This window comes from Homo sapiens, chromosome 3, assembly GCF_000001405.40.
Source record: "Homo sapiens chromosome 3, GRCh38.p14 Primary Assembly".
In the NCBI taxonomy this organism is placed as follows: Eukaryota; Metazoa; Chordata; class Mammalia; order Primates; family Hominidae; genus Homo; species Homo sapiens.
The window spans coordinates 45,163,223-45,187,183 of record NC_000003.12 but is presented as its reverse complement, the minus strand read 5'-3'; the positions used below and the strand labels follow the sequence as shown (position 1 = coordinate 45,187,183).

The following is a 23,961-nucleotide window of genomic DNA, read 5'->3' as shown; positions in this document are numbered from 1 at the left end:
CATTGTCAAGTGCTTCTCCCCAGCCCTAACCTGGCACTGCAGCTCCTGAAGACCAGAGATGCCCATCACAGCAGGTCTGCACAGGGAGCCACCCCATGCTGTTGGGTTCCCCACACTCAGTGCCCAACCTCACAGCCACGCTGGAACCAGCTCCCCATCCCCGACTTGGGCCATGGACACTACCAGACTCATTCCTGGGAAGGAAGAATGGCCCGAGTGAGGCTCCTCACCAGGTGAGCCTTATAGCAAATGTGTAATGGAGGCAGACAGTTGGAGTTTTTTCTTTGGAGGGGGCGGGATGAGGTGAAATCCACATAACATAAAATTTGCCACTTTTAAATGAACAACTCAGTGACAATGAGTTGTGCAACGATCACCTCCATCCACTTCCAAACATTTTCACCACTCCAGAAGAATCCCTTACACATTAAACACTTACCCTACCACCTATCCTCCCCCTAGCCCCTGACAATCACCAACCTCTCTGTCTCTATGGATTTAATCCTATTCCGGATATTTCATTACATTGGAATTGTGCCATGTGTGGCTTTTTGTGTCTGGCTTCTTTCACTTAGCATAATGTTTTTTAGGTTCGTAACGGTTTTTAGGTTTGTAGCATGTGTCAGAACTTCATTCTTGTTTATGTCTAAATAACATTCTATTTTACAGATAGACCACACTTATGATCCATTCAGCCATTGATGGATACAGATGGGGTTTTACTTGACAAAAACAAACAAACAAAAACTGTTTCTAAAGTTTTTTTTAGTGAGCCACCAATGTTTTCATGTCCCATGATTTCATTTAGATGTCCAGTCACACTTCAAAAATCAGATTCTGGCTGGGCAAGGTGACTCACACCTGCAATCCCAGCACTTTGGGAGGCCGAGGTCGGCCAGGACTCCGAGTTCAGGAGTTTGAGACCAGGCTGGCCAACATGGTGAAACCCCGTCTCTACTAAAAATACAAAAATTAGCTAGGCATGGTGGCAGGTGCCTGTAATCCCACCTACTTGGGAGGCTGAGGCAGGAGAATAGCTTGAACCTGGGAGGCAGAGGTTGCAGTGAGCCGAGATCACACCACTGCACTCCAGCCTGGGTGACAGAGCGAGGCTCCATCTCAATAAACAAAGAAATAAATATAAAATAAATCAGCTTCTGCAACCTGGGGCCCAGGGCAATGCTGAGGAGAGATGTGCAGCAGTGACCCCTTGGACAGGACTGGACCCAGTAGCTCTCCCTTTTCCTCCTCCCTGGCTTGTATTCACAGTCCCCTGCCTGGCCCCTCCGGGTACCCTACAGTCCTGGCCAGACCCTTAGAAGAGAAACTCAGGGCAAGGGGGAAAGGGCCTTTTCTTCTCTCCTTGCAAGGTCAAGACATAATTAATAGAGATCTCCATGAAGATCACCCAGCCTCAAAGCCACCAAAGCAGCCTGTGGGTGGGGACACCATCAAGTCAGTAGCCTGTCTTCTTCAAGATAGGGCCTCCCTGAGAGCAGGGACTGACATTGTGGCTAGGCCCGGCCGGAGGTCAGCAGTGCCCTCATCCATCCTTCTTATTGTGTCTTGTCCTCCGTCAATTCATGCGCAGGCTGTGGCTGTACACCAGCTTCCTTCCACACACACACGAAAACACAGCCATACTCAGCATGTCATGATTTCCTTAGGTCTTGCTTGAGTTTGTGGAATGAAACAGAAAGTCCACTTCACAGGGTGAGGGAGTCTTCCATGCCCCACTCCTCCCTTCCTTGGCAGCACCTCTCTTTCAGTTCCCCGCTCCTCTCCACTGATCCCGTCTGGAACAGTCCATGGGCTTGTCTCCTTCCTGCATCAGGCCAAGTATCACATCTACCAAGCAAAGGTGCTTTCTTTCCCCCCATGCTAGTGACTGGGAAAGTAAGAATATGTCCACATTTTTAAGACAAAATTTGCTGAGTGCACTTATTTGAGAGGGAAGAAGGGTTAGAAGCACCTGGAAAGTGGAGTTTGCAGCTCAGGTCATTATTCCAGCTGCAATCTCTCATTCTGAAGTGACCACATTAACCCAGGTCCCAAGAAACCAGGTGAGCCTTGGCAAAGGGACAGGGCTTCCCTAGGAGCTCACTCTTCTCCTGCAGACCCAGACAGGCCCCTCCACGCTTCCATTTATTCTCTTCCCTTATAGGACAAGGACAACATTTAGGAACCCCAGTGAGCATCAGGCATTAGCTAATTAGTGATCTTCACCAGTCAGAGATGTAATACTCAGCAGTAATCACAGACTCAGAGATGCACTCATTGCAGTTCAGTAAGTTTCAGTTTACTTTTTCAATAAGGACAGGAAATTGTCTGCCCTACAAGGGTGGGCAGCGTTTGGAAGCAAGCCCACGCTGTGGAGTTAGGGGGCCTTGAAAGTTCACCAAGTTCTGAAACGGTAACTTTTGAAGAGTGCTCATGTGTCTATGATTTAGTTTCCAAAAATGCACCTAGCAGGGCCCCAAATGGCTCCTTATTGCCCCTGCAGAATATAGTCCCAAGATCCTCATCCTCATCTTCCTGGAAGGCAGAGGGGAGCTGAAAGCAGTGAGGACCACACACTACCTGGTCCCTGGTCTCTGGAGTACTCACATCTGCATCTCCCCAAAAACTCCACAGGAGACAGAATTCTCCCTATGTTACTTGGGAGGACTGGAAGCCTCCAAGGTGGCCAGTGACTTGCCCACAGTCTTCCAGCTGCTATGGGCCAGAATTTGTCCTGTCCCTAATGCCAGCTGGGGGCAACTGGGCCAGGGTTTTGTTTTGCAGGCAATATCCTCCAGCCACCTTTGATCTGGGCATAAAAACCTGTTGGTAGTATCATCACTTTTGTGCCTCATGTTTTGAAGTCTAGTGTTTGAGGGGGGCTCTCTCTCTCTCTTTTAGGTGAATCCCATTTGGGGCCCCTCCAGAAGATGGACTGAGCCTGCTCAGAACTCAGCCTCTGCTTTCTGGCCCCAGCCCCTTAGAACTGGAGCTCTGTTTGGAAGAAAAACTACATGTCCATAGAGCGAACTGGTGCTGGTAATTCCTTAATGAAAACCAGAAATACGATGCAAACACCCAGTGGGTTAACCCATTCTGGGGGTGGCTCTGAGCCAGTACTTAGGGCTGGGTGCATAAAGACCCCCCGGACAGGGCTTCTGCCCCGCCAGGCTTCTATCAGAACGTGCAGCCATCGCAGTGCCAGAGGCAGAGGAGCTTACGCCAGCACACAGGAGAGGAGACAGTGGGATTCAGAGCCCCACTGCCCTCCACCCCAACCCCAGCACCCATTCTACAGGTGAAGTGGCTCAAGTGACCTGCCTATGTCACCTTGCTGAGACTGAAGAGCAGCTGCTTAAAGATGCTGGGAAATAAAAAAGAAGGAAGCCAGATTCTTTCAACCTCAGGCAGATGTCCTCAAAGGCAGATCCAAAACTAAGAACTTGATGGCCTGAGTGACTGGGGTGGCAGATATCCTGATGGCCCTAGATCCAGCCCCTAGTGCAGGGCCTGCACTTCATAGGTCCTTAGTACACGGTTGCTGGTGGAATGTTCAAATGAAAGAGGCCTTGAACTTTTGTGGCTGAGACTCTTCCCAGCCTTCATATTAAGCTCCACTGTCATCTTTTTCTTTCCAGATTCCCCAGCTCCCCTGGGGGCAGCCCTCCGCCCTAAGAGAAACTGAGAAGTGCATGAGTCAGCACATTCATTCTCTGCCTCACCTCGCCTGCCTGCCTGCCTGCCTGCCTGCCTGCCTGCCTGGGATCAGAATTAGCCAACACCCATTCCAAACACACTGGTTACACCATCCACCTCCACCCAGCTCTGCCTGCAAGGGTGGCACCTGTTTTGCCACACCCTCTCTGCAGCTTTAAACCTCCCACGGAAGCACAGAAACAGATTAACCTGGCCCACTGGAAGCACCTCCAACTCTCAGGAGTCAGATAAGTGAGGACTGGTTTTTACGGTGCTTACTTCTGAAACGACTGGAGGCTGCTGTTTACAATAAGAAACAAAGAAACAATCCACTCTCAAGGCCTGGAATGGAAGAACAGTAACAATGTAATGAAGTCCATGCATGTGCCTTTGCTTGGCAGCAGGCAAGAATTCCTTGTGTCAGGAATCCTGATTTAAACCAGGCTGGGTGGGTTAAGCCTGTAATCCCAGCACTCTGGGAGGCCCAGGCGTGAGGGTAGCTTGAGGCCAAGAGTTGGAGACCAGCCTGGTCAACATAGCAAGACCTTGTCTCTACAGAAACTAAAAAAATGAGGCAGGCATGTTGGTGTGTTCCTGTAGTCCCAGCTACCTGGAATGCTGAGGTGGGAAGATCTTTTGAGACCAGGAATTCGAGGTTGCAGGGGGCTATGATCATGCCGCTGCACTCCAGGCTGGGTGACAGAGCAAGACCCCTTCTCAACCAATAAAAAAAAAAAAAAAGAAAGAAAGATAAAGAAAAGAAGTCCTGATTTAGAAAGAATACTATAATTTACACAAAATCTTGTACTGAGCCTCCTAGGAAGCAAGGGGGAAAATGGTTTATGCTGCTCTCTTTATCAGATGTTAAAAAGCATACCATACCTTCTCAGGCACCAAAACTCTTAGCAATTTTTTTCTAACCTAGAGAAGGGCTTCAAAAAATAAGTGTGAGGCCGGGTGCGGTGGCTCGTGCCTGTAATCCCGGCACTTTGGGAGGTCAAGGCGGGCGGATCACCTGAGGTCAGGAGTTGGAGACCAGCCTGGCCAACATGGTGAAACCCTGTCTCTACTAAAAAATACAAAAATTAGCTGGGCGTGGTGGTGCACGCCTGTAATCCTGGCTACTAGGGAGGCTGAAGCACGAGAATTGCTTGAACCCAGGAGGCAGAGATTGCGGTGAGTAGAGATGGCACCACTGCACTCCAGCCTGGGCGACATAATGAGACTCTGTCAAAAAAAAAAAAAAAAGGTGGAGGGAAGAAGGGAAAGCAAACTTACTCCTAGCCTTGATACCTTCACTACTAAACACTAATCAATTATCAGCTGGGGAGAGCATCAAATAAGCATGGGCACTGGCATCCATGGAAAGTTTTACAACATATGCAGAGTTATTTTCCCTGTGATGGTTTCAGAATCACCTGTGAAGCCTGCAAAAATGCAAATTGCTGATCCCATCCCCAGACCCACAGAAATGGAATCTCTCAGGGGATAGACCCTGGAAGCTGCATTTCCTTTGTATTCCCCACGGAATTCTTGGGCATCCTAAAGTTAGAGAACTGTTCCAGAACTTCTTTACGCTTGAAAGGGAAGCTGCATTTCAACTTGGACCCTGGGAGAGTAGCTCCCCTTTCCCTCACTACTGTGACTTTGAGCAGCCAAAGAGGATCCCACTCCCAGGACCACGCCAGCTCTAATGAAACTAGATGTTTGTAAATCAAGCCTGCCCACATTGCAAACGTTCACCCCACCCCGCCCCGCCCCACCCCGCCATCCCCACTGTGTTAGTCCCAGTCCTCTGAGAAACAGAGATTAAGAAAGGATTAAACAGGAAAAGATTTTGTTGGAGGAAATGCATATATGACAGAAAGTAAGAAGGAGCAGACCAGGCTACAGTGTGAGTCTGACCCCAAAGAGGGTCACCAAATTTGTCAAATAGCCAGGATAATCAGGTAAATATGAATTTCAGATAAACAACAAATAATCTTTTTAGTATAAGAATATCCCATGCAATGTTTGAGCCATACTTACACGAATAATTCTTTGTTTATCTAGTATTCAGATTTTCCTGGGCGTCCTGTGTTGCATCTGGCAACCCTGACTCCCAGTGAAGGAGAAAGGCAGGCTGAGTAGGAGCACCCTGGACTGCTGTGCCGTCTAGGGGAGGTTCAGTAAAGTCATCGGGGAATCCTTGAGCCAAAGGTAGGGGAGGAATCCCCCAGCTTCCAGGCTCGGGCCAGCTTTAGTATCCCTGCTGCACTCCGTCTTGACGTCAGCACAAGCCAGGGGATGGATTCTAGAGCCAGGGGGGCCCTGGGCCAGCTGTACTGCCGTAACTGGAGGCCTGCGAGGCAAACCCTCATGCCACCACACCCCAATGCAAAGCCCAGAGTGGCAGAAGGCTCGGCAGAGGCTGCCAGTGGTCACCTGTGTTCTAGCCTCAGCTTGACCTCCTTGAAACTAGGTCAGGAAAAACCACCTCTCCCCCAGTTTTCCCAGCTGGCTCACAGATACCCTAGAGAGATAAATGAGGTGATGAGACTAAGTACTTCTTGGTCCTCAGATCAAAGGTTCTGTATGCTGAGCGCTGGATGAGTCTTTCATGGGGACTGGATCTTCTGGTCAGAGACACTCTGCCTCACCCCTACAGAGACACCTCCAACTCTACTTGGTGGATGTGGCCAATTGAACCTCTTTTCCACAAATGTGAACTTCTGAGACACCAAGTCCCACAGGTCTCAGAGCATCTCTCACCCATCCCTGGAAATGGAACTGAGATGCTTGAAGAAGCCGAGAGGAGATTTGGAGGGCAGAACTGGCCAGGAGTTCCAGGCCTGGGCAAGAGGTGTGCAGCATGAGAGTAGGGGAGCGTCCCCTTGAGTGGCAGAATGACACAGGGGTCCTTAATCAGCAGCACTCCTGAGGCCATCTGCAAGCCGGGGAACAGCTGTATAGACTGTGGGGTTTTAAAACAAACCCTTAATTTGTCTGATACATCTCGCTTTATACAGTGGGACGAATTCCCCTTGCCTTAAGTGTGGGTGTCCTTAGTGACTTGCTTCTAACTAATAAAATGTGCAGAAGAGGTGGTGTGTGATGTCAAGATTGGGACATACAAGGCATTTTGGCTTCCTACTTGCTGTCTCTCTTGGGCTTCTTGCTCTGGGGGAAGCCAGCTGCCAAATCATGGGCATAATCAAGCAGCCCTAGGAACAACACAGTGGCAAGGAACCGAAGCCTCCAGTCATGAGGGGTGTGAGTGATCTGCTTGGTATTCGATCCTCCAGCCCCGGTTGAGCCTTTAGATGACTGCATCCCTGGCTGATAACTTGACTACAACTTCACGAGAGACCCTGAGCCAGAACCACTCGGCTAAGCTGCTTCTGAATTCCTGACCCACTGAAACTGCGGGATAGTAAATGTTTGTTGTTTAATGCCACTACAGTTTGGAGTAATTTGTTATGCATCAATAGATAACAAATACAAGCATTGCAGTTACACATTCAAATCCCAGCTCCACTCACCTGCTCATGTCCTTGGGCAAGGTACCTAACCCCTCTGAGCATCAGTTCCCTCTGGCTGCCCCCCAACAGCAGCCAGAAGACACTGTCTGATCCTCATATCCTGGAGAGAACTCCAACCTGGCCTCAAATACAGCCAACTAGGGTGCCCTGCGGGCAGGGGGCCCTTCCAAGGCCAGCCAGTTATCTTGGGGAGAGAAACTAGGTCATGTTTTCTTCCAAACATCTTCTGTCTTACACCTGATGAAGGCTTTCAAATGTAAACGTCAAGATTTTGTCAACTTTATTCTCTGGCAAAGTCATGAGTCCTGGTCCCAGCCACCTGGGCTTGGCGAAGGACCTTAGAATACAAGTGTGGAAATTCAAGTTCATGCAGATCTCTTCCAACCCCTTTCACAGCTGTGTGGTCCCTCCCCAGCTTCTTTGTGTTTGCTCCTTGGGACCGACCCCTCCAAGACCTGGGCACCACAGCCACTGGGCCCTTGTGGAGAGTCTGGGAGTTTTACATCCCCGCTCCACCCCCAGCAGCCTGTGGCCAATAACTGACTGCTGTCAGGGACAAACACCAGCTCCTGTGCCTTCAGGCAAGACAAACCCAGAGCTCCCCAGGGACCTGGCTGAGGCTGTCCCTTCTGAAACCTTCCCCTGGCCAGGCTTCTCCCCCTTACCTCACTTGCTTTCTCCACTCCCTCCCTTACTGGGCTGTCCTGGGAAGACTCCCTTAATAAATTGCTGGCACCCAGCCAGGCTCTTGCCTATAATCCCAGCATTTTGGAAGGCCAAGGTAAGCAGTTCGCTTGAAGTCAGGAGTTCAAGACCCGCTTGGGCAACATGGTGAAACCCCATCTGTATTTAAAATACAAAGATTAGCCAGGGATGGTGGCACATGCCTGTTATCCCAGCTACTCGGGAAGTGTGGCACAAGAATTGCTTCAACCAAGGAGGTGGAGGCTGCTGAGATGGTGCCAATGCACTGCAGCCTGGGTGACAGAGTGAGACCCTGTCTCAAAAAAAAAAAATTGCTGTCACCCAAATTCTTGACCTAGGTTCTGGGGGAATCTGTCCTGAGACTGGGGGAGCACACCGGTTAGTACCTCCAGGGTGTTATGCCAAGAGTTATCATTATAGGACACGTGATATTGAGTGGGGCTGTGCCCGCTGCCTTTAGAGCCAGCTGTCAAAAAAGAGTATTGTGTGTGCCAAGTTACAATTGGAAAAACTGAGAAATTGTACCTTCAGTAGGTGGTTAAGAGATCAGTCCAAGCCTCACAGGAGAGGAAAGTGGGGGAGCTGGGGTCCTGCCTCAGATTATTACTCCAGAGCCACGCTCCTGGTACACAGTGCACCTCACGGCTTCCCGGATCCAGGCAGGTTAGAAGCTGTTTGCGCTTGTTTGTTTTTTTAACCCAGAAACATAAACCCACTTCTCTGATTACCACTGTGACCACAGACATTCCACAGAAGAGGCAGCCCTCCATGCCAGGACCTCCCGGGCAGATGCTGGAGGCAGTGGCGCCGCCTGCTCCCTTGGCAGTTGGGCCTGGTGGTAAGAGGTGACTGGTGGTGATGCTGGAACCTGGACACTGTTCCCCAAAGGCAGGGCCAAGAAGAGTGCTTTCAAATGACGCCACAAGCTCCAGCTCGCACACTCCCTGGAGGGTGTTCTCACTAGAGGCAGTGCCCCTGCTGTCAGCTGTGTGGCCTCTCTCACGTTTTGTTCTCCAGTGACTCTGAACACACAGGGCAGCTTCACCCCTTTGGTCTGTCCTCAGGCTGGCTCCCTTGTCTGCAGTGACTTCTCCACGCTTCGTCTTGTAAACATTTCCTAGATCATTTTTCATGTGGATGGCAGTGAGGCGTAGTGCTTAAGGGCTTGGGATCAGACCCTGGAATCCTGCGTCTGGGGCTCTATTTCAGGCTCTGCTGCCAAACAAATGTGTGAATGTGGGCAAGGTATTCAACTTCTCCTTGTTGTTCTTGTATGTAAAATGGAGCCAGAGACACCTTGGAAGGCTGCTAGGAGGACTAAATAAGATAAATTAGATGTTAAGCACTTAGCAGACAGCCTGAAACATAAAGGACAGTGACCTATCTATCTATCTATCTATCTATTCTCATAAAATTCTATGGGTCAGGCACTGTTTTGAGGTCTGGAGACACTGGGGTAGATATGATGTAGACAGGGCACCTGAGACACAGGGAAAGCTCTTTTTTTTTTTTTTTTTTTTTTTGAGACGGAGTCTTGCTCTGTCTCCCAGGCTGGAGTGCAGTAATCTCGGCTCACTGCAAGCTCTGCCTCCCTGGTTCACGCCATTCTCCTGCCTCAACCTCCCCAGTAGCTGGGACTACAGATGCCCGCTGCCACACCTGGCTGATTTTTTGTATTTTTAGTAGAGACGGGGTTTCACCGTGTTAGCCAAGATGGTCTTGATCTCCTGACCTCGTGATCTGCCTGCCTCAGCCTCCCAAAGTGCTGGAAGGGAAAGCTCTTAATGTTTTATGTATATATGTATTTTTGAGACAGGGTCTCACTCTGTCACCCAGGCTGGAGTGCAGTGGCACAATCACAGCTCACTGCAGCCTTGACCTCCCAAGATCAAATGATCCTCCCACCTCAGCCTCCCAAGTAGTTAGGGCTACAGGGCATGCCATCTTGCCTGGCTAATTTTTATTATTTTTTTGTAGAGACAGCATCTCACTATGTTGCCCAGGCTGGTTTCAGACTCCTAGGCTCAAGCAGTCCTCAGCCTCCCAAAGTGCTGGAATTACAGGCATGAGCCACTGCACCTGGCCCTTAATATTTTATTTTTAACTGATAATGATTAACTTGTTTGTACCTTACGTAGAGTGGTAGCACGTGGCTCGCAAGGCAACATAGTAGTGCCTGGAGTTAAGAACTCAGACTGCTTCTAGCTGAGAACTTCACAGGGAATGTTAGGTTCAAATCCCAGCTCCTCCCTTTCCAGCTGAGTAACCTTGGAACGAATCTCCAATTTACTTCCCAAGGCTACTGGAAAGACCAAAAGGTAGTTTGAACAGGATAAAGCAAGTGCCATACAATCAGCAGATGTTAGTGATGGACAGGGGCTTCCTGGAGATGAAAAAGGTGCGAAGAACTGGCTTTGGTGGAATGTCAAGCCCAGGCAGGCCAGAGGAAGAGCTGCATTTGGAGGTAAGGGGCCTTCCCAGTGAGCTGGAAAATTAAGTCCTGGAGGACCCAGCTTTGACAGTCCTGCATAAAGCTGATTTGGGGCTTGGTCAAAGCTCCATCAATCCTGAAGGCAAGAGGCCCTATGGAGGAATAGAGTGAAGAATTCTTGATAAAATAAAGCGTGCATTCAGGAAAAGCTGTATCTGGAACTATGCCAAACACTTACATATTTTATAGCAGCTCATTTACAATTACAACTCTGCAAAGCAGGAGTCATTATACCCATTTTATAGATGAGAAAACTGAAGCTCAGAGGCATTGTAACCTGCCCAGGGATGCACACAATCCATTTATCTGGCAGTGGCAGGATTCCAGCCCAGAGAAGTTGGTTCTAAAGCCCAGGATCTCCCCCTAGGGTGCATTCCCCCTCCCTGGCAGAGCTTCCAGGTAACTTCTGAGCAATATTCATTTTTCTCCGCTGCAGTCTAGACCAGCAGGAAGGATTGTCATAAAGTCTTGGAGTTGAGGTCTCCAGCTACTAGTGTGCTGAGTTTTCCTTCCTAGCTTGAGCCCTGCCTCAGTTGTGCAGTATTTACTGTCTGTTAAGCATCAGTGCAGAGCTGCTCATCCCAGCTCATGGGTATGAAATTTTCACTTCATAGAATCATGTACGCCTTTTTGAACACTCCAACACCTAGCACGGTGTCCAGTACAACGTAGATGTTCAATCAATGGTTGTTGAATGAATAAGCAAAAAATATCAACTGTCACTTATTGCATATTACAAATCTTCCTCTCCTGTATTATTATTACTATTATTATTTTACAGAGTCTTGCTCTGTTGCCCAGGCTGGAGTGCAGAGGCACAATCTCAGCTCACTGCAACCTCCGTCTCCCAGGTTCAAGTGATTCTTCTGCCTCAGCCTCCCAAGTAGCTGAGATTACAGGTGTGCACCACCACACCCACCTACTTTTTATATTTTTAGTAGAGACAGGGTTTCTCTAGATTGGCCAGGCTGATCTCGAACTCCTGACCTCAGATGATATGCCTGCCTCGGCCTCCCAAAGTGCTGGGATTATAAGCATGAACCACCGTGCCCGGCCATCTCCTGTATTATCTTATTTGACCTTAACAACAACCTCTGAGGTAATAAATGGATTCCTAGCCCAGCTCACAGAGGGTCTACATGGTTCATCTATGAAGAGGATTGGTGGTCATTCCTCTAATCCCCTAATGGAGATATTTGGAAGCAAAACCCCATTATTAGTTCCTTGGCTGTAGGGTGGGAGCTACCATAGTAGAAAGGGCCAAATGGACCCCCTACCGACCATATCACATCCCTGGAGGACTGGCAATGACTAGTTCCACTATTAAACATTCTAAAAGATGGAGAGGTGGTGGTCCCTCACAAAAGACAGGTCCTGGAAGATGACAGTGAACTACTGCAAACTTAACCAAGTCGTAGCCTCAGTGGCTGTTGCCAAATGTAGTATCTTTGCTACAGCAGATTAATAAGGCCTCACATACACAGTATGCAGCCATAATCTGGCAAATGCATTTTCCTTTTTTTTTTTTTTTACATTTTTATAAGAAAAGGGGATCAGAAACAAGTCACATCCCCTTGGGATAGGCAGCAGTGCACATTGCTGACCTTGCCCAAGGGCTGTGTTAACTCCCCTGTCCTCTGTTGTAATGTGGGGACCTATCTCATGTCGACAGACCTCAGAGCATCCTTGATCCACTGCACTGAGGAGATCATGTCATTGGAAGAGAGGATCAAGAAGTGACTAGCATGTCAGAGATGTCAATAAGACATGCACATTCCAGGGGATGGGAGAGAATTCCTATGGGGACTCAGGCACCCACCAGATCGGGCAAGTGTTTAGGAGCCCGGGGGTCCAAGGCATTCCAGAACACCCCTCCTAAGTAACGAGCACATTATGGCTTCTTGTACCTCTCCCTAAGAAGGAAGTATAATGCCTGGTCAGCTTCTTCAGACTCGAAGGCTGCATATGACACACTTGTGAATACTGCTTGGAACCAGGTACTGATGGGCAGGCCCAGAGCCAGCTTGAGCGGGTCCCTGAGCAGGAAAGAGCCGTGCAGCAGGTCCAGGCTGCAGTACAAGGGGCCCAGCCACTTGGGTTTATGGACCAGCAGACCCTCTGGTATTAGAGGTATCTGTGGTGGGAAAAGATGTTGTTTGCAGTTTGTAACAAGTCTCAATAGAAGGATCAATGTAGCTGACTAGGATTCTGCAGGAAGGCCATGCCATCTGCAGTGGAGAATTACATACTTTCTGAAAAACAGGACCTAGGAAGTTCCTGAGCCCTGGCCATGGGACTTAAAGTGACCACACAGCTAAAGGAAGTAAGAACATGCCACCCCAAAGTATTCCACTCTGGCATGTCGACTCCTTTGAGTGAAAGGCACTTGAAAAACAGCAAGTGCAAGAATATCACTCCAGGCTCCATGCTGTTTCTTAAAAGCAGATGAAGTTCCCCTACGAAAGATGCCCTCCCCATACTAGAAGGAAAGTAACAGTGTTATCATCAAGGATGAGAAGCTGAGACTGAGAGAATTCTGAACAAAGCTAGTGAAAATCACTTATCTTCTTTTAGCCTCCCCACATAGTTCAGCTGCTTTTTTACAACTTTTTATTCTTTGCTCAATTCAGTTCATAAGCGTTCAACTCTAACTGTGGCTTCAGGCCTTCATTTCCTTATGAAGACTCCTGTGCCACATAAAACTTGTATGAAATAAATTTGTATGCTTTTCTCCTACTGTTCCATCTTAAATCAACTTAATTCTCAGGCTCAGCCAAAACACTCTAAGGGAGTAGAGGTGAAATATTTCCTCCCTTACACAGCCAAGGCTGCCATCATGTGCTGGGTTCTTTCACATCTACCAAAGCAGAAGGTCAGACTCAGCAGGAAGCCATCATAAGATGGAAGTGGCACCTCCAAGATTAGGTCCAAGCAGGGCCAGAGGGCACAAGTCACCTGTACAAGCAGATGGACCAGACCTCATGTCATCTGCACACTCTGGCACCAGGACCACCCCTCCTTCCTTCAGGCCACACCAATGACCATGAGTTGGGGGCTTGGGTGGAAGGCTGCATTTGGTTCACAAATAACTCAGCCTAATTTGTGGGTGAGGGCCAAAAATCGACCACAACTCCATCCAGGGGCAGCCCTGAAAAGCAGCAGGGAAAGAAAACCCTCCCCATAGAAAGAGAAGTGGTCTTAAATTAGAATTTACGCAGGTGTGCAGGCAGCAGAAAATGGCTGCGCTAGTTCCTCAGGGGCCCAGAAGAGAAAAATTGGAAGAAAGAGACTAAGGAGGGCTGGGAAAGAGGCACCTGGATGGACCCTCGGGAAGGGGCACAGCGTGACCTGCAAGACAAGAGGATGGGCCCACAGGAATGGGCACCAAATCGTATTGCACAGCAATGTCCACCACAGAGCACCCACTACAGGAAAGGCACTGAACAGCCACATGGTCAGAGTGACTTTCCCAGCCTCCATCACTGGCCACATGGGTACATGAACAGAGTAGTTACCGCAGAACAGTGCATGCTACCACTAGCTGGGTTCTTTCACACGCATCAAGGCAGAACGGATGGAGGATTGCGCATGGGCTGGACACCATAGCCTTCCACTCTCCAAGGTGATGCAGCAACTGCCACTATCCAGTGTCTAACCTGACAGCCCCAGAGACCAACACTGAGGCCGAAATGGCAACAACCCTTAGGGAGCCGAGCCAGCCTTTCAGTGACTAGTTCAACATTTGAACCCTTCCACCTTGGAAGGAGCAGCAATTCACTCTGGGTGGAATTGACCCATACTGTGGGCATGGATTCACCTATTATGCCCACAGACCTTGGCCAGCACCTGCAGAATATGTGGTCTACCAATACAGGATCCCATGTAGCATTGAGACAAAGAGACCTACTTTGCAAAGGCAAGTGACCATGAGGTCCCTGGTGATACCACGTCCTCATCCTCTAGAGGCCAGCCGGAGGTGGAATGGTCACTGAAGGTCCAGGCAGCCAAAGCACCAGCTGGAGAGGGCGCTATGTATCCTGACACTCTAAGTCAACAGGCATTGTATGGTACTGTGCCCCTACCCCCTGAGAGGAGTGGTTCACCTGGAAATCAAGGGGTGGAAGCCTGAGTCGCCCCACTTACCATCACTTCCAGGACAAGATCTCTTAACCAGTTTCAATGTCCCATTCCCACAGCTCTGTGGTTTAGAGATCTTGGTTCCCAGAAGAGGATACACTTCTACCAGTGACACTCTGAGGATTCCATCAAACTCCTAGCTATGGCTGCTTTCCAGTCACTTTGGGCTCTTTGTGCAGAGAGACCAGCAGGGAGAAGAGCCACCATCCCATCGTGGGTAACGGGACCCTGGTCATCAGGAGAAAGCAGGGTTGCTGATTACACAATGGGGGCAGGCAAGAATATGTTTGGCACTCGGGTGGTCCACTGGGGCATCCCTTGGTTGTCCTGACCCCAATTTATTTTTTTATTTTTATTTTTATTTATTTATTTAGAGATGGAGTTTCACTCTGTTGCCCAGTCTAGAGTGCAGTGGTGCAGTCTTGGCTCGCTGTAACCTCTGCCTCCCAGGTTCAAGCGATTCTCCTGCCTCAGCCTACCGAGTAGCTGGGATTACAGGTGCCCACCACCACACCTGACTAATTTTTGTATTTTTGTAGAGATGGGGTTTCACCATATTGCCCAGGCTGGTCTCAAACTTCTGACCTCAGGTGATCCACCCACCTCAGCCTCTCAAAGTTCTGGGATTACAGATATGAGCCACCACGCCCTGCCTAAGGTTTTGTTTTTCTATAACTCAACCCAGCTTCCACTGAAGCCCCATTCTGCTGCAGTGGTAGATGTCTCCCTTGGAGCAGAGTCCAAGTTTGGGAGCATCATTTGCACCAAGGCCTTTCAAGAACCCTCCAGAAGTTCCATCCTCAACACACTGACCCTTTCTAGCTTCTAGCCCTCAGAGAAAACCCCACACTCCCCAAGGCCCTCCCTAAACCCTTTCTCTCAGCCCCAAATCTTTTCAGTCAAAAGTTGTGAAGGGGAGAGAGGGGCAAATGTGGCCCAGGGGATTCATTTGCAGCCTAAATTTTTAAATTAGTTATCAACCTTTACAAATTAAGGAATTTCACATGAAATTTTGTATTTTTATGCTTTTCTAAAGAGATCAGTCTATCCTTCAATTTCCTCTGGTGGCACTGGCTGTCGCGAGAGGGAGCCACCTCCTCTTGCTTTAGTTTTTCCAGTGGTCCAGATCTCTCCACTCTGCCTTGCTGCCTGGAGCCAGGGGCTTTGGCTTTGCTGCCCTGAGCTCCCTTATGGGTGCAGGGTTGTGGCTTTGGGAATACAGGTTTGTTAGTCACTTCTTTTTGCTGAGGCAAAGGTTGGGGAGTGAGTGACGGTGATGAGAGGGAAATGCTAAGAAAGCTCTTTGAGCTGGGTGGTGAAGACTGGATAGGAGTGAGAAAGTAAGGCGAAGGCCGGGCACGGTGGCTCACACCTGTAATCCCAGCACTTTGGGAGGCCAAGACGGGTGGATCACTTGAGGCCAGGAGTTTGAAACCAGCCTGGCCAACAGGGCAAAACCCCATCTCTACCAAAAAATTAAAAAATATGCCAGGCGTGATGGTGCATGCCTGTAATCCCAGCTGCTCGGGAGGCTGAGGCGTGAGAATCCCTTCAAACCAAGAGGCAGAAGTTGCAGTGAGCAGAGATCACATCACTGCACTCCAGCCTGGGTGTCATAGTGAGACTCTGTCTCAAAAAACAAAAAACAAAACAAAACAAAAAAACAGAAAGTAGGGAGAAGCAGAGAGGGCGTCCCAGGCAGAGGAAACCACCTGAGCAAAGGCCTGGGGGTACCCCTGCTGGGAGACCGTGAGGGTACCTGTCTGATTAAACGATGGGTTTGACATTATGCTGCAGTGGGGGAAAGGCTGGGTAGGGAAACTGGGGACAGAATGTAGACAGTAAACTTGACCTAGTCAACTCACAAGCTTGTGGGCAGCTGGAGGCAGAAAATGATTGACTTCTCCAAACATTTTGTGTTTCTGAGTGACTTAATGGGAAGGAAGTGGGTTCATTCCAATCTATCTTCTGCACCCAGATCTGTACCAATCCAGAAGGCAACTTGACCCAACCAGCAATTTTGCCTAATATTCTGTTCAGGGCTCTATGTTAGGTACAAAGAAGAGGCGTACAACAAAGGCCAACAGTGGGGGTTGAAGACCTGTCTGCAACATTCCTCCTAGGAAATGGTAGAGTCTCATTCCCCTTCCCTTGACTATGAGTCCCTTTTAGTGACTCGATTCTAACCAATGAAACACAGGGGAGTGACATTGTGTGACTTCTGAGGCTAGGTCATAAGAGAAAATACAGCTTCCTCCTGTCTGATGTGTTCTCTCTCTCTTCCTTTCTCTCTCTTGGAGCCCAGCCACCATGCTGTGAAGAAGCCCAGGCCATAAAGGGAGGAACACTCGTGGGTGTTCCAGCCAGCAGTGCCAGCTAAGGTCCCAGCTGGCAGCCAGCACCAGTCACCAGCCATTAGTGAGCAAGCCTCGGAAGATTCCTGCCCCAGCCTTCTGGCTGCCCTAGCTGATACCACAGAGGCAAGCAAAATAAAGCCCCTAGGTTTTGGAATGTTTATTATGCAGCATGAAGTAACTGGAGCACAAATACACAGAGCCAGGCTCTAACCCAGCCCGGGACAACTGGGAACCAAGCACGGTATATGGAACATCCTAAACATTCCTCAGCTGACAGGTGTATATTCCGCTGTTTTCAGATGGAACAAAATCAGTTCTGAGCTGTGGCACCGAGCTGTAGACCCACATATAAACGATGTGCCATCCAGGTGGGGGAAATGAAGGAAGGCCTCAGAGGGGAAGCCGTTTTGACCACACTGTGGAGGATGAGGAAGACAATTTCAAGAGAAAAGGGCAATGCAAATCACAGACACTGTGAGCTGGACACTGTGGCCTCAGGGCGCTCTGGTCAATCCCTGCATCCTCTGTTAAAGATTGGCAGTACTGACCCCTGCACTCAGGCTTCCTATGTCCTACTGGGCATGTCCCCTCTTCAGGTCACCTAGAGGCTGCCCTCAGCTCTCCTCTCCCTGACCTTTAGGGTAGGAGGGATTTGACAGAATTTGATGTTCGTCCACCAGAGGTGGTCTGTTGACTGTTGAGTGATTTCCACAGAACTGTGTATTTTGCATTCCTTATCTTTCCATTCCCCACCTAGACCCCTGCAAGGCCCCGCAATTTCTTTTCACCCACTCACTGCTTCGTTAGTGCTGGAGTTAGTCAGATCTCATCAGTCCCTCCTCGATGGCTCCTTCCCTCTTGTTCCACTGCTGACAAAGGGGCTTGCTCTCCACCAGCCTTCCCTGTTGGACTCTGTGCTTTGGAACCAAGTAATTGTTCCATTACTCATTACGTTTTACAGTTATAAATGCAAGACAAGTCCATTACAGAAAATGCTGAATCAAGAAAAGAAACTACACACAATCTCATCACCCTGCCCCGCCATCAATAACCATTCATCTCGTCTTCTTTGAGGATTTTTTTTTCAACACCTATAGCGTTTTTAAAATCCTGTTATAGCCGGGCACGGTGGCTCACACCTGTAATCCCAGCACTTTGGGAGGCCGAGGCAGGCAGATCACCTGAGGTCAGGAGTTCGAGACCAGCCTGGCCAACATGGCAAAACCCCATCTCTACTAAAAATACAAAAACCAGACATGGTGGCTTACCCCTCTAATCCCAGCTACTCGGGAGGCTGAGACAGGAGAATTACTTGAACCCAGGAGGCAGAGGTTGCAGTGAGCCTACATGGCGCCACTGCACTCCAGCTTGGGTGACAGAGCAAGGCTCCATCTCAAAAAAATAAAAAATAAAAATAAATAAAAATAAACAAACCCTCTTATCATACTGCACATTCAATTGTGAATGCTGAGTTTTGTCTTTGGTGTCACAGTGCATGCTTTTTGTCATCATTTTCTTTCCTAATGAATACGTAGTGGTGTCAAGTGGCTGAACCTCGTTTTCTTTAACTATTTTTACAGTGTTTGGCATCTACGTGGTTTCCAGTTTTTCCCTGCAGTAAACATCTCCCTGCCTAGGGCTTTTTCTGAAAGCTGAACTACTTCCTCAGGACAGATTCCTAAGAGAAATGACTGGGTCAGAAGTTGTGGGTATATTAATGGCTCTGGATATAGACCACTTGTCAAATTATCTCAGCGACTTGTTTCTTTGAACTGTGATCTTGTAGTTAATGCTGTTGTTGTTCTGGAAGTATTAGATGACCACTGGAGAAAATTTGGAAACGTTGAGAGAAGTGAATAAAAATCAATCTCATTTCACCCATAAAATGATAATCATTATCAGTAACATGTTGGTGTCTTCCTCTCCAGTCTATTTTTCTTCATGTAAGTTTTAGGGTTTTTTTTTTTGTTTCAGTGCCTATATGAATTAGCATAATTATCATGGCACTCTAAATAAATTAGACTTCATAATTTTTCTTGAACATAACAGCTAAGCATTTTCCACTTTATTGCAAACTTCAAACAGTTTAAGATATTTTCCACTGAGTAGATGTATCCTCATTTACTTTCCCATTATCCTATTTGGGGACACTTACACTGATTCCAAATTTTTGCTCTTAAAAACATTTGCCAGGAATAAATCTTCAAGTTCTGACTTAAAAAGCAGTTTGTAAGTTGGGTAAACAGAAAAATGATGAAAACTTACAATAGAAGAGTTGACTAATTGGTCTTGATTGTGGAAAAGGCTAATTTCTAAGCTCCTTCCTAGATTCATGAATGGAATTTAAATAACTAAGCTTTTTTTTTGTTCGTTTACAATCAAAGCAAACCCAATGAAGATTACTGATTGGGAGCCCAGACACCTGGTTTTCTGGTGGTTTTTCCCTCGGACAAGTCACAGGCCTGGCCTCTTGTGACTTAGTCAAATGCACAGTCAGACTAAACGGTGGCGGCACCGGCGCTGCAGGGCTCCCGGCTGTTTCCTTTTACCAACCCACACCGTTGTCAAGGGCGGCGCCTTCGTTAAGCATTCCTCAGTCACCGCGGTGAAGTTGCCATTTGCTTCCTGCCTGACTCTGACTCACACAGCAGCCTGGGGCACAAGTCCTACCATCTGTGGGCCTGGGCCGGCTGGCGGCACAAAGAGGAGCAGAAAGTGTGCCTCGATGCGCAGGACATGAAAAACAAGTGATGCCGCTTCCTGTGTGCAGACATGGAAAGATAAGGAAGAGGCTTATGATGTTGGAAAAGAAAACAACAGCGGCAACAGAAACCAAACCTGAGGGCAAGACAAACAGTATATGCTATCGTTTGTATAAAAATAAAATAGAGAGCCAGATATGCACATACCACCCCCGGTCCCCCCAAAATAAAGAGCTCAATGGCAGTGAAGGGCTATATAGTCACCACTGGCAACTGCAGAATGGATGCTTATTGTTCCTCAGAAAATTACTGTATTTCCTGCGTGACTCAGAGTTCTGTTCACTGCATTGGTCGGTTGAAAAGTGACATAGGCTTGGGTGGAAGGAGTGAAGCCAGTTCCCCAAACACTTCCTTGGTACCCAGGCTGACCTGTGGTGGAGACATCCTCCCCCAACACCTGTGCCCATTCCAATGGCAGACAGGCAGTCAGATGCAGGCACACTGAGAAATGCAATTAGGAGAGAGAAGGAAGGAGAGGGAGAGAAGGGAGACAAGGGGTGCAGCTAGAGAGGGAACAGAGTGAGAAAAAGAAAGAAACTTTGGCCATCTTTTGAACAACCATGACAATCTTGAGGAGTTTTGGTGGTGCTTCATTTAGGATGAGCTTTTAATGGTCCTATTCTCTAAAGGCAGCCTCCTTCTCAGGATGTCCTTACCCTGAGCAGCTCAGAAAATCAAGGGCTGCTGCAGCCTGGCAGCCTTTTGCTGGGGACTGGTCCTGCCTGGAATGGGTCTTGAGACCCTGGGTTGGCCTGACCTCCAGTCCTAGCCCTGTTCTTCCAGTACAGTAACAAGTGACCTTGGCCCATGATCATGGCTGGCCACCGCCCAGCCTCTGGGAAGGCCTCAGCCCAGGAGCCCCCATCTGCTCACCCACTGAAATGGGCCTCTCCCGCTCCCCAGTGAGGCCTTGGAGCAGAGCCACTGAGAACCCTGAGGCCCTAGGAGAGAAGAGAAGAATTAACAGGGTCAGTTGTTTCCAGATGTCTCTTACTTATGTCAGGATTAATCTTTTTACTACAGAGCCATTAAACTGGACAGAACACATGGAGAAAATGCATATAAAGCAGATGTCCTGGATAACAAGGAGAGGAGGTAAGAACCACGAGGAGAACATGGAGTGGACAGAAAGCACTGCCCAAGGATGACACACATGACAGGAGGAAGCAGGGACCCTGAAGGCCAGCCAGGCTCCTGAGGCTTCAACTCTACCGCTTCAGAATCTTCTGCCAGCAACTTGACACTAGTTCCCTGTATTAGTCTGTTCTCATACTGCTATAAAGACATACCTGAGACTGGGTAATTTATAAAGAAAAGAGGTTTAATTAGCTCATGGTTCTGCAGGCTGTACAGGCTTCTTCTTGTGGGGAGGCCTCAGGAAACTTACAATCATGGTGGAAGGTGAAGGGGAAGCAAGCACATTTTACATGGCTGGCAGGAGAAAGAGAAAAAAAGAAAGTGCTACACACTTTTAAACAACCAGATCCCCAGATAACGCTAGCACAAGGCAGCGCTAGGGGGATGGTGCTAAACCATTAGAAACCGCCCCAGTGATCCAATCACCTCCCACCAGGCCCCTCCTCCAACACTGGGAATTACAATTTGACATGAGATTTTGGTGGGGAAACAATTCCAAGCCATATTATTGCCCACTCAAAAGGCTGGGCTGCCTGCAGGGCACTCCCTTCCTTGCTTCCTCCTTCCCATCTTCCGACTGGGGTCAGTAAAACTGAGTAGCAAGCCAAGGCTGGCCTGACCACAGACCCTGATTTGCTATGGGAAATTTCTCTTCTGATCACCTACCTACTGCTTCCTGCCACCGTTAGGGACTGAGCTAGTCAGTGTCTGCAAGTCTTTTTTTGTTCCTGAAAAGTGACTCAGGATACAGGAAACAGAGATAAAAATATTGTGTTAGGCCGGGCGCGGTGGCTCGTGCCTGTATTCCCAGCAATTTGGGAGGCTGAGGCGGGTGGATCACCTGAGGTCAGGAGTTAGAGACCAGCCTGGCCAACCTGGTGAAACCCCCCCATACTAAAAATACAAAACTTAGCCAGGCATGGTGGTAAGCGCCTATAATTCTAGCTACTCAGGAGGCTGAGGCACGAGAATAGCTTGAACCCGGGAAGCGGAGGTTGCCGTCAGCCAAGATCACACCACTGCACTCTGGCCTGGGTGACAGAGCAAGACTCTGTCTCAAAAAAAAAAAAAAAAAATGTGTTCATAATAATAGCAAGTGCTTCCAAGCACTCACTGAGTGCCAGGCACTATGCTCCATTATTTGGTCCTATTTGGTCCTTATAATGACCCTATCAGGTAGATGCAGTTATATATCTCCAGTTTATATGTAAGGAAACAGGCTCATAGAGGGTAAAGATCAAACAGTAGGCTAGATTTGAAGGCAGGTGGTCTTCGACTGTGTACCCTTAGAACAGTAACACATCTCATTACTAACACAGCTGATTGGAGGACATGGCTTAGATCGGTCGCCAGTGGGGCTTGCTGATACATCACTCTTGAATGAGACTATCTTAGCCACTCACGCTTGGCAGCACCAGAAGCTGTGGGGAGTGGAGCCCTGAAGCGCATTTCACAGAGGAGCAGAGGACACCTGCACCCCAAAGAGAGAAAAGCCACCAACCTCTGAGCAGAGCATGCTGCAGCACCCAAAGTGTCTGGGGGCAAGGGTGATGCTCCAGCACTGTGGGATCTCACCCTTGCCTGCATGTTAGTAACCTGAGAAGTTTTCAGTTACTTCCAATGCCCAGCCTCCCTGTTGTCCTCCCCTTCCCCAGTGAAATCCCATCCCTGGGTCCCATATGGACCCAGGCATCCATATTTTTGAAACTCCAGGTAATTCCAATAGGTGGCTAAGGTTGAGAACTACTTCTGGGAAGGAATGTCCTTATGGGACAGTAGGTCCAAGGGAATGGTTTTTTCTTTTTTACATTAATATTGGGATGTGGGAGTGGGATGAATAACAGCTGTAAGACCCTGTCAGTCTCTCACACTTCGGTGTGGATTAATTTTGGTCTTGATTCCCCTCATGACGGGTGAGATCCAGGCACCAAAGCAATGTGAGTGTTTATAGCAGAGAAGGGAAGGGTGTGTATGGCTCAAGAGGGCCAGCCCCAGAGAGGACCAGCTCTGGTGGGAGATACAGTGGGCCAGGGAACAGAGGCCTTAGAGAGAGAACTTGAAGATGGACAAACATCATGTGCTTCCTGGCTTGCTCCAGAGTTGGCCCCAACTGGCTGTGAGTTTCTGCAGCTCAGAGTCAGCGTCTTAGAATAGGCCAGCGTGGTCTCGGGTGACAGTCACCCAGCATCTGTTGCAAACTTTTCACAGCGCAGGAGATGATTCTCCCCACCCCAAGTACCTCTTTGGACAAATAGCTCTTCCTTGAACTAAGCTAAAAGTCCTCTTCCTGTGACATCCAACCCATGCCCAGAGTTCTGCTCTGTAGAGATACAAACAAGAATTCCAGTCCTGGCTCAAGAGAATGGCCCTTCAGACACTGGAACCCATCCCCACCTCTCTCAGAGCCTGCTCTTTCCTAATTGCCTTCATGCTGCCTAAATCACCTGTTTCAGGCTTTCAAAGGAATCTTTACGGCTTCTCCAAGGATGGCCATGATGCTGCCATGTACAGGTGAAGTCTGTGTCCTCTGGCCCCGATTGTAGGGTTCTGCCTGTACCCTGCAAGTATTCTCTTGAATCTTCAGTACAATACTGCAAAACAGACACTCTGATGAACATTTTATAGATAAGGGAACTGAAACTCAGAGCTGCAAAGTAACTTGTGCAAAGTCACAAAGCAGGTCGTTGGCAGATTCAGACCCAGGCCTACCCGATGCCAAGACTCACATCCATCTTAGTAAACCTCCCCTGTCAGTCCCTGCTGGGGAACAGCACACCGCAGCAAGTGCTCTGAGCATCACACGAGCAGTGGAGCCTCCCCTGGCCTGGAGACCCTTCTTGACTTCTAAGCAAAGATGAGACTGGTTTGGCCTACCCCATCCGACCCCAGGAGTCCCAAACAGACAAATGCTCCCAGAAAAAACTACCCCTGTCACTGATGAAGTTCACCCCATCTCTCTCATAGCCCTTAGAGGTGGTATGAGTTTTCCTCCCAAACACTTTCTTGTTTATGCTATTTTCTTTCTTGGCACTTTTCTTGGGACTAGCCTTGGACCCTTCAAATATATTTTATTACTTGAAAAATTCAGGCCAGGCGCAGTAGCTTACGCCTGTAATTCCAGCACTTTGGGAGGCCGAGGCGGGCAGATCACCTGA

The 23,961-nt window shown here is 48.7% G+C and overlaps 3 annotated features.

Moving 5' to 3' along the window:
- Positions 19,044-20,007: an enhancer, noted in NCBI's record as "NANOG-H3K27ac-H3K4me1 hESC enhancer chr3:45208669-45209632 (GRCh37/hg19 assembly coordinates)". NCBI's record gives its function as "activates a minimal SCP1, AML or CMV promoter by ChIP-STARR-seq in naive H9 embryonic stem cells {active_cell/tissue: H9 hESC(naive)}" and the evidence as "EXISTENCE:reporter gene assay evidence [ECO:0000049][PMID:30033119]".
- Positions 19,364-19,483: a silencer, noted in NCBI's record as "silent region_14279". NCBI's record gives its function as "represses an Ori minimal core promoter by ATAC-STARR-seq in GM12878 lymphoblastoid cells {active_cell/tissue: GM12878}" and the evidence as "EXISTENCE:reporter gene assay evidence [ECO:0000049][PMID:35858748]".
- Positions 20,008-20,971: an enhancer, noted in NCBI's record as "H3K27ac-H3K4me1 hESC enhancer chr3:45207705-45208668 (GRCh37/hg19 assembly coordinates)". NCBI's record gives its function as "activates a minimal SCP1, AML or CMV promoter by ChIP-STARR-seq in naive H9 embryonic stem cells {active_cell/tissue: H9 hESC(naive)}" and the evidence as "EXISTENCE:reporter gene assay evidence [ECO:0000049][PMID:30033119]".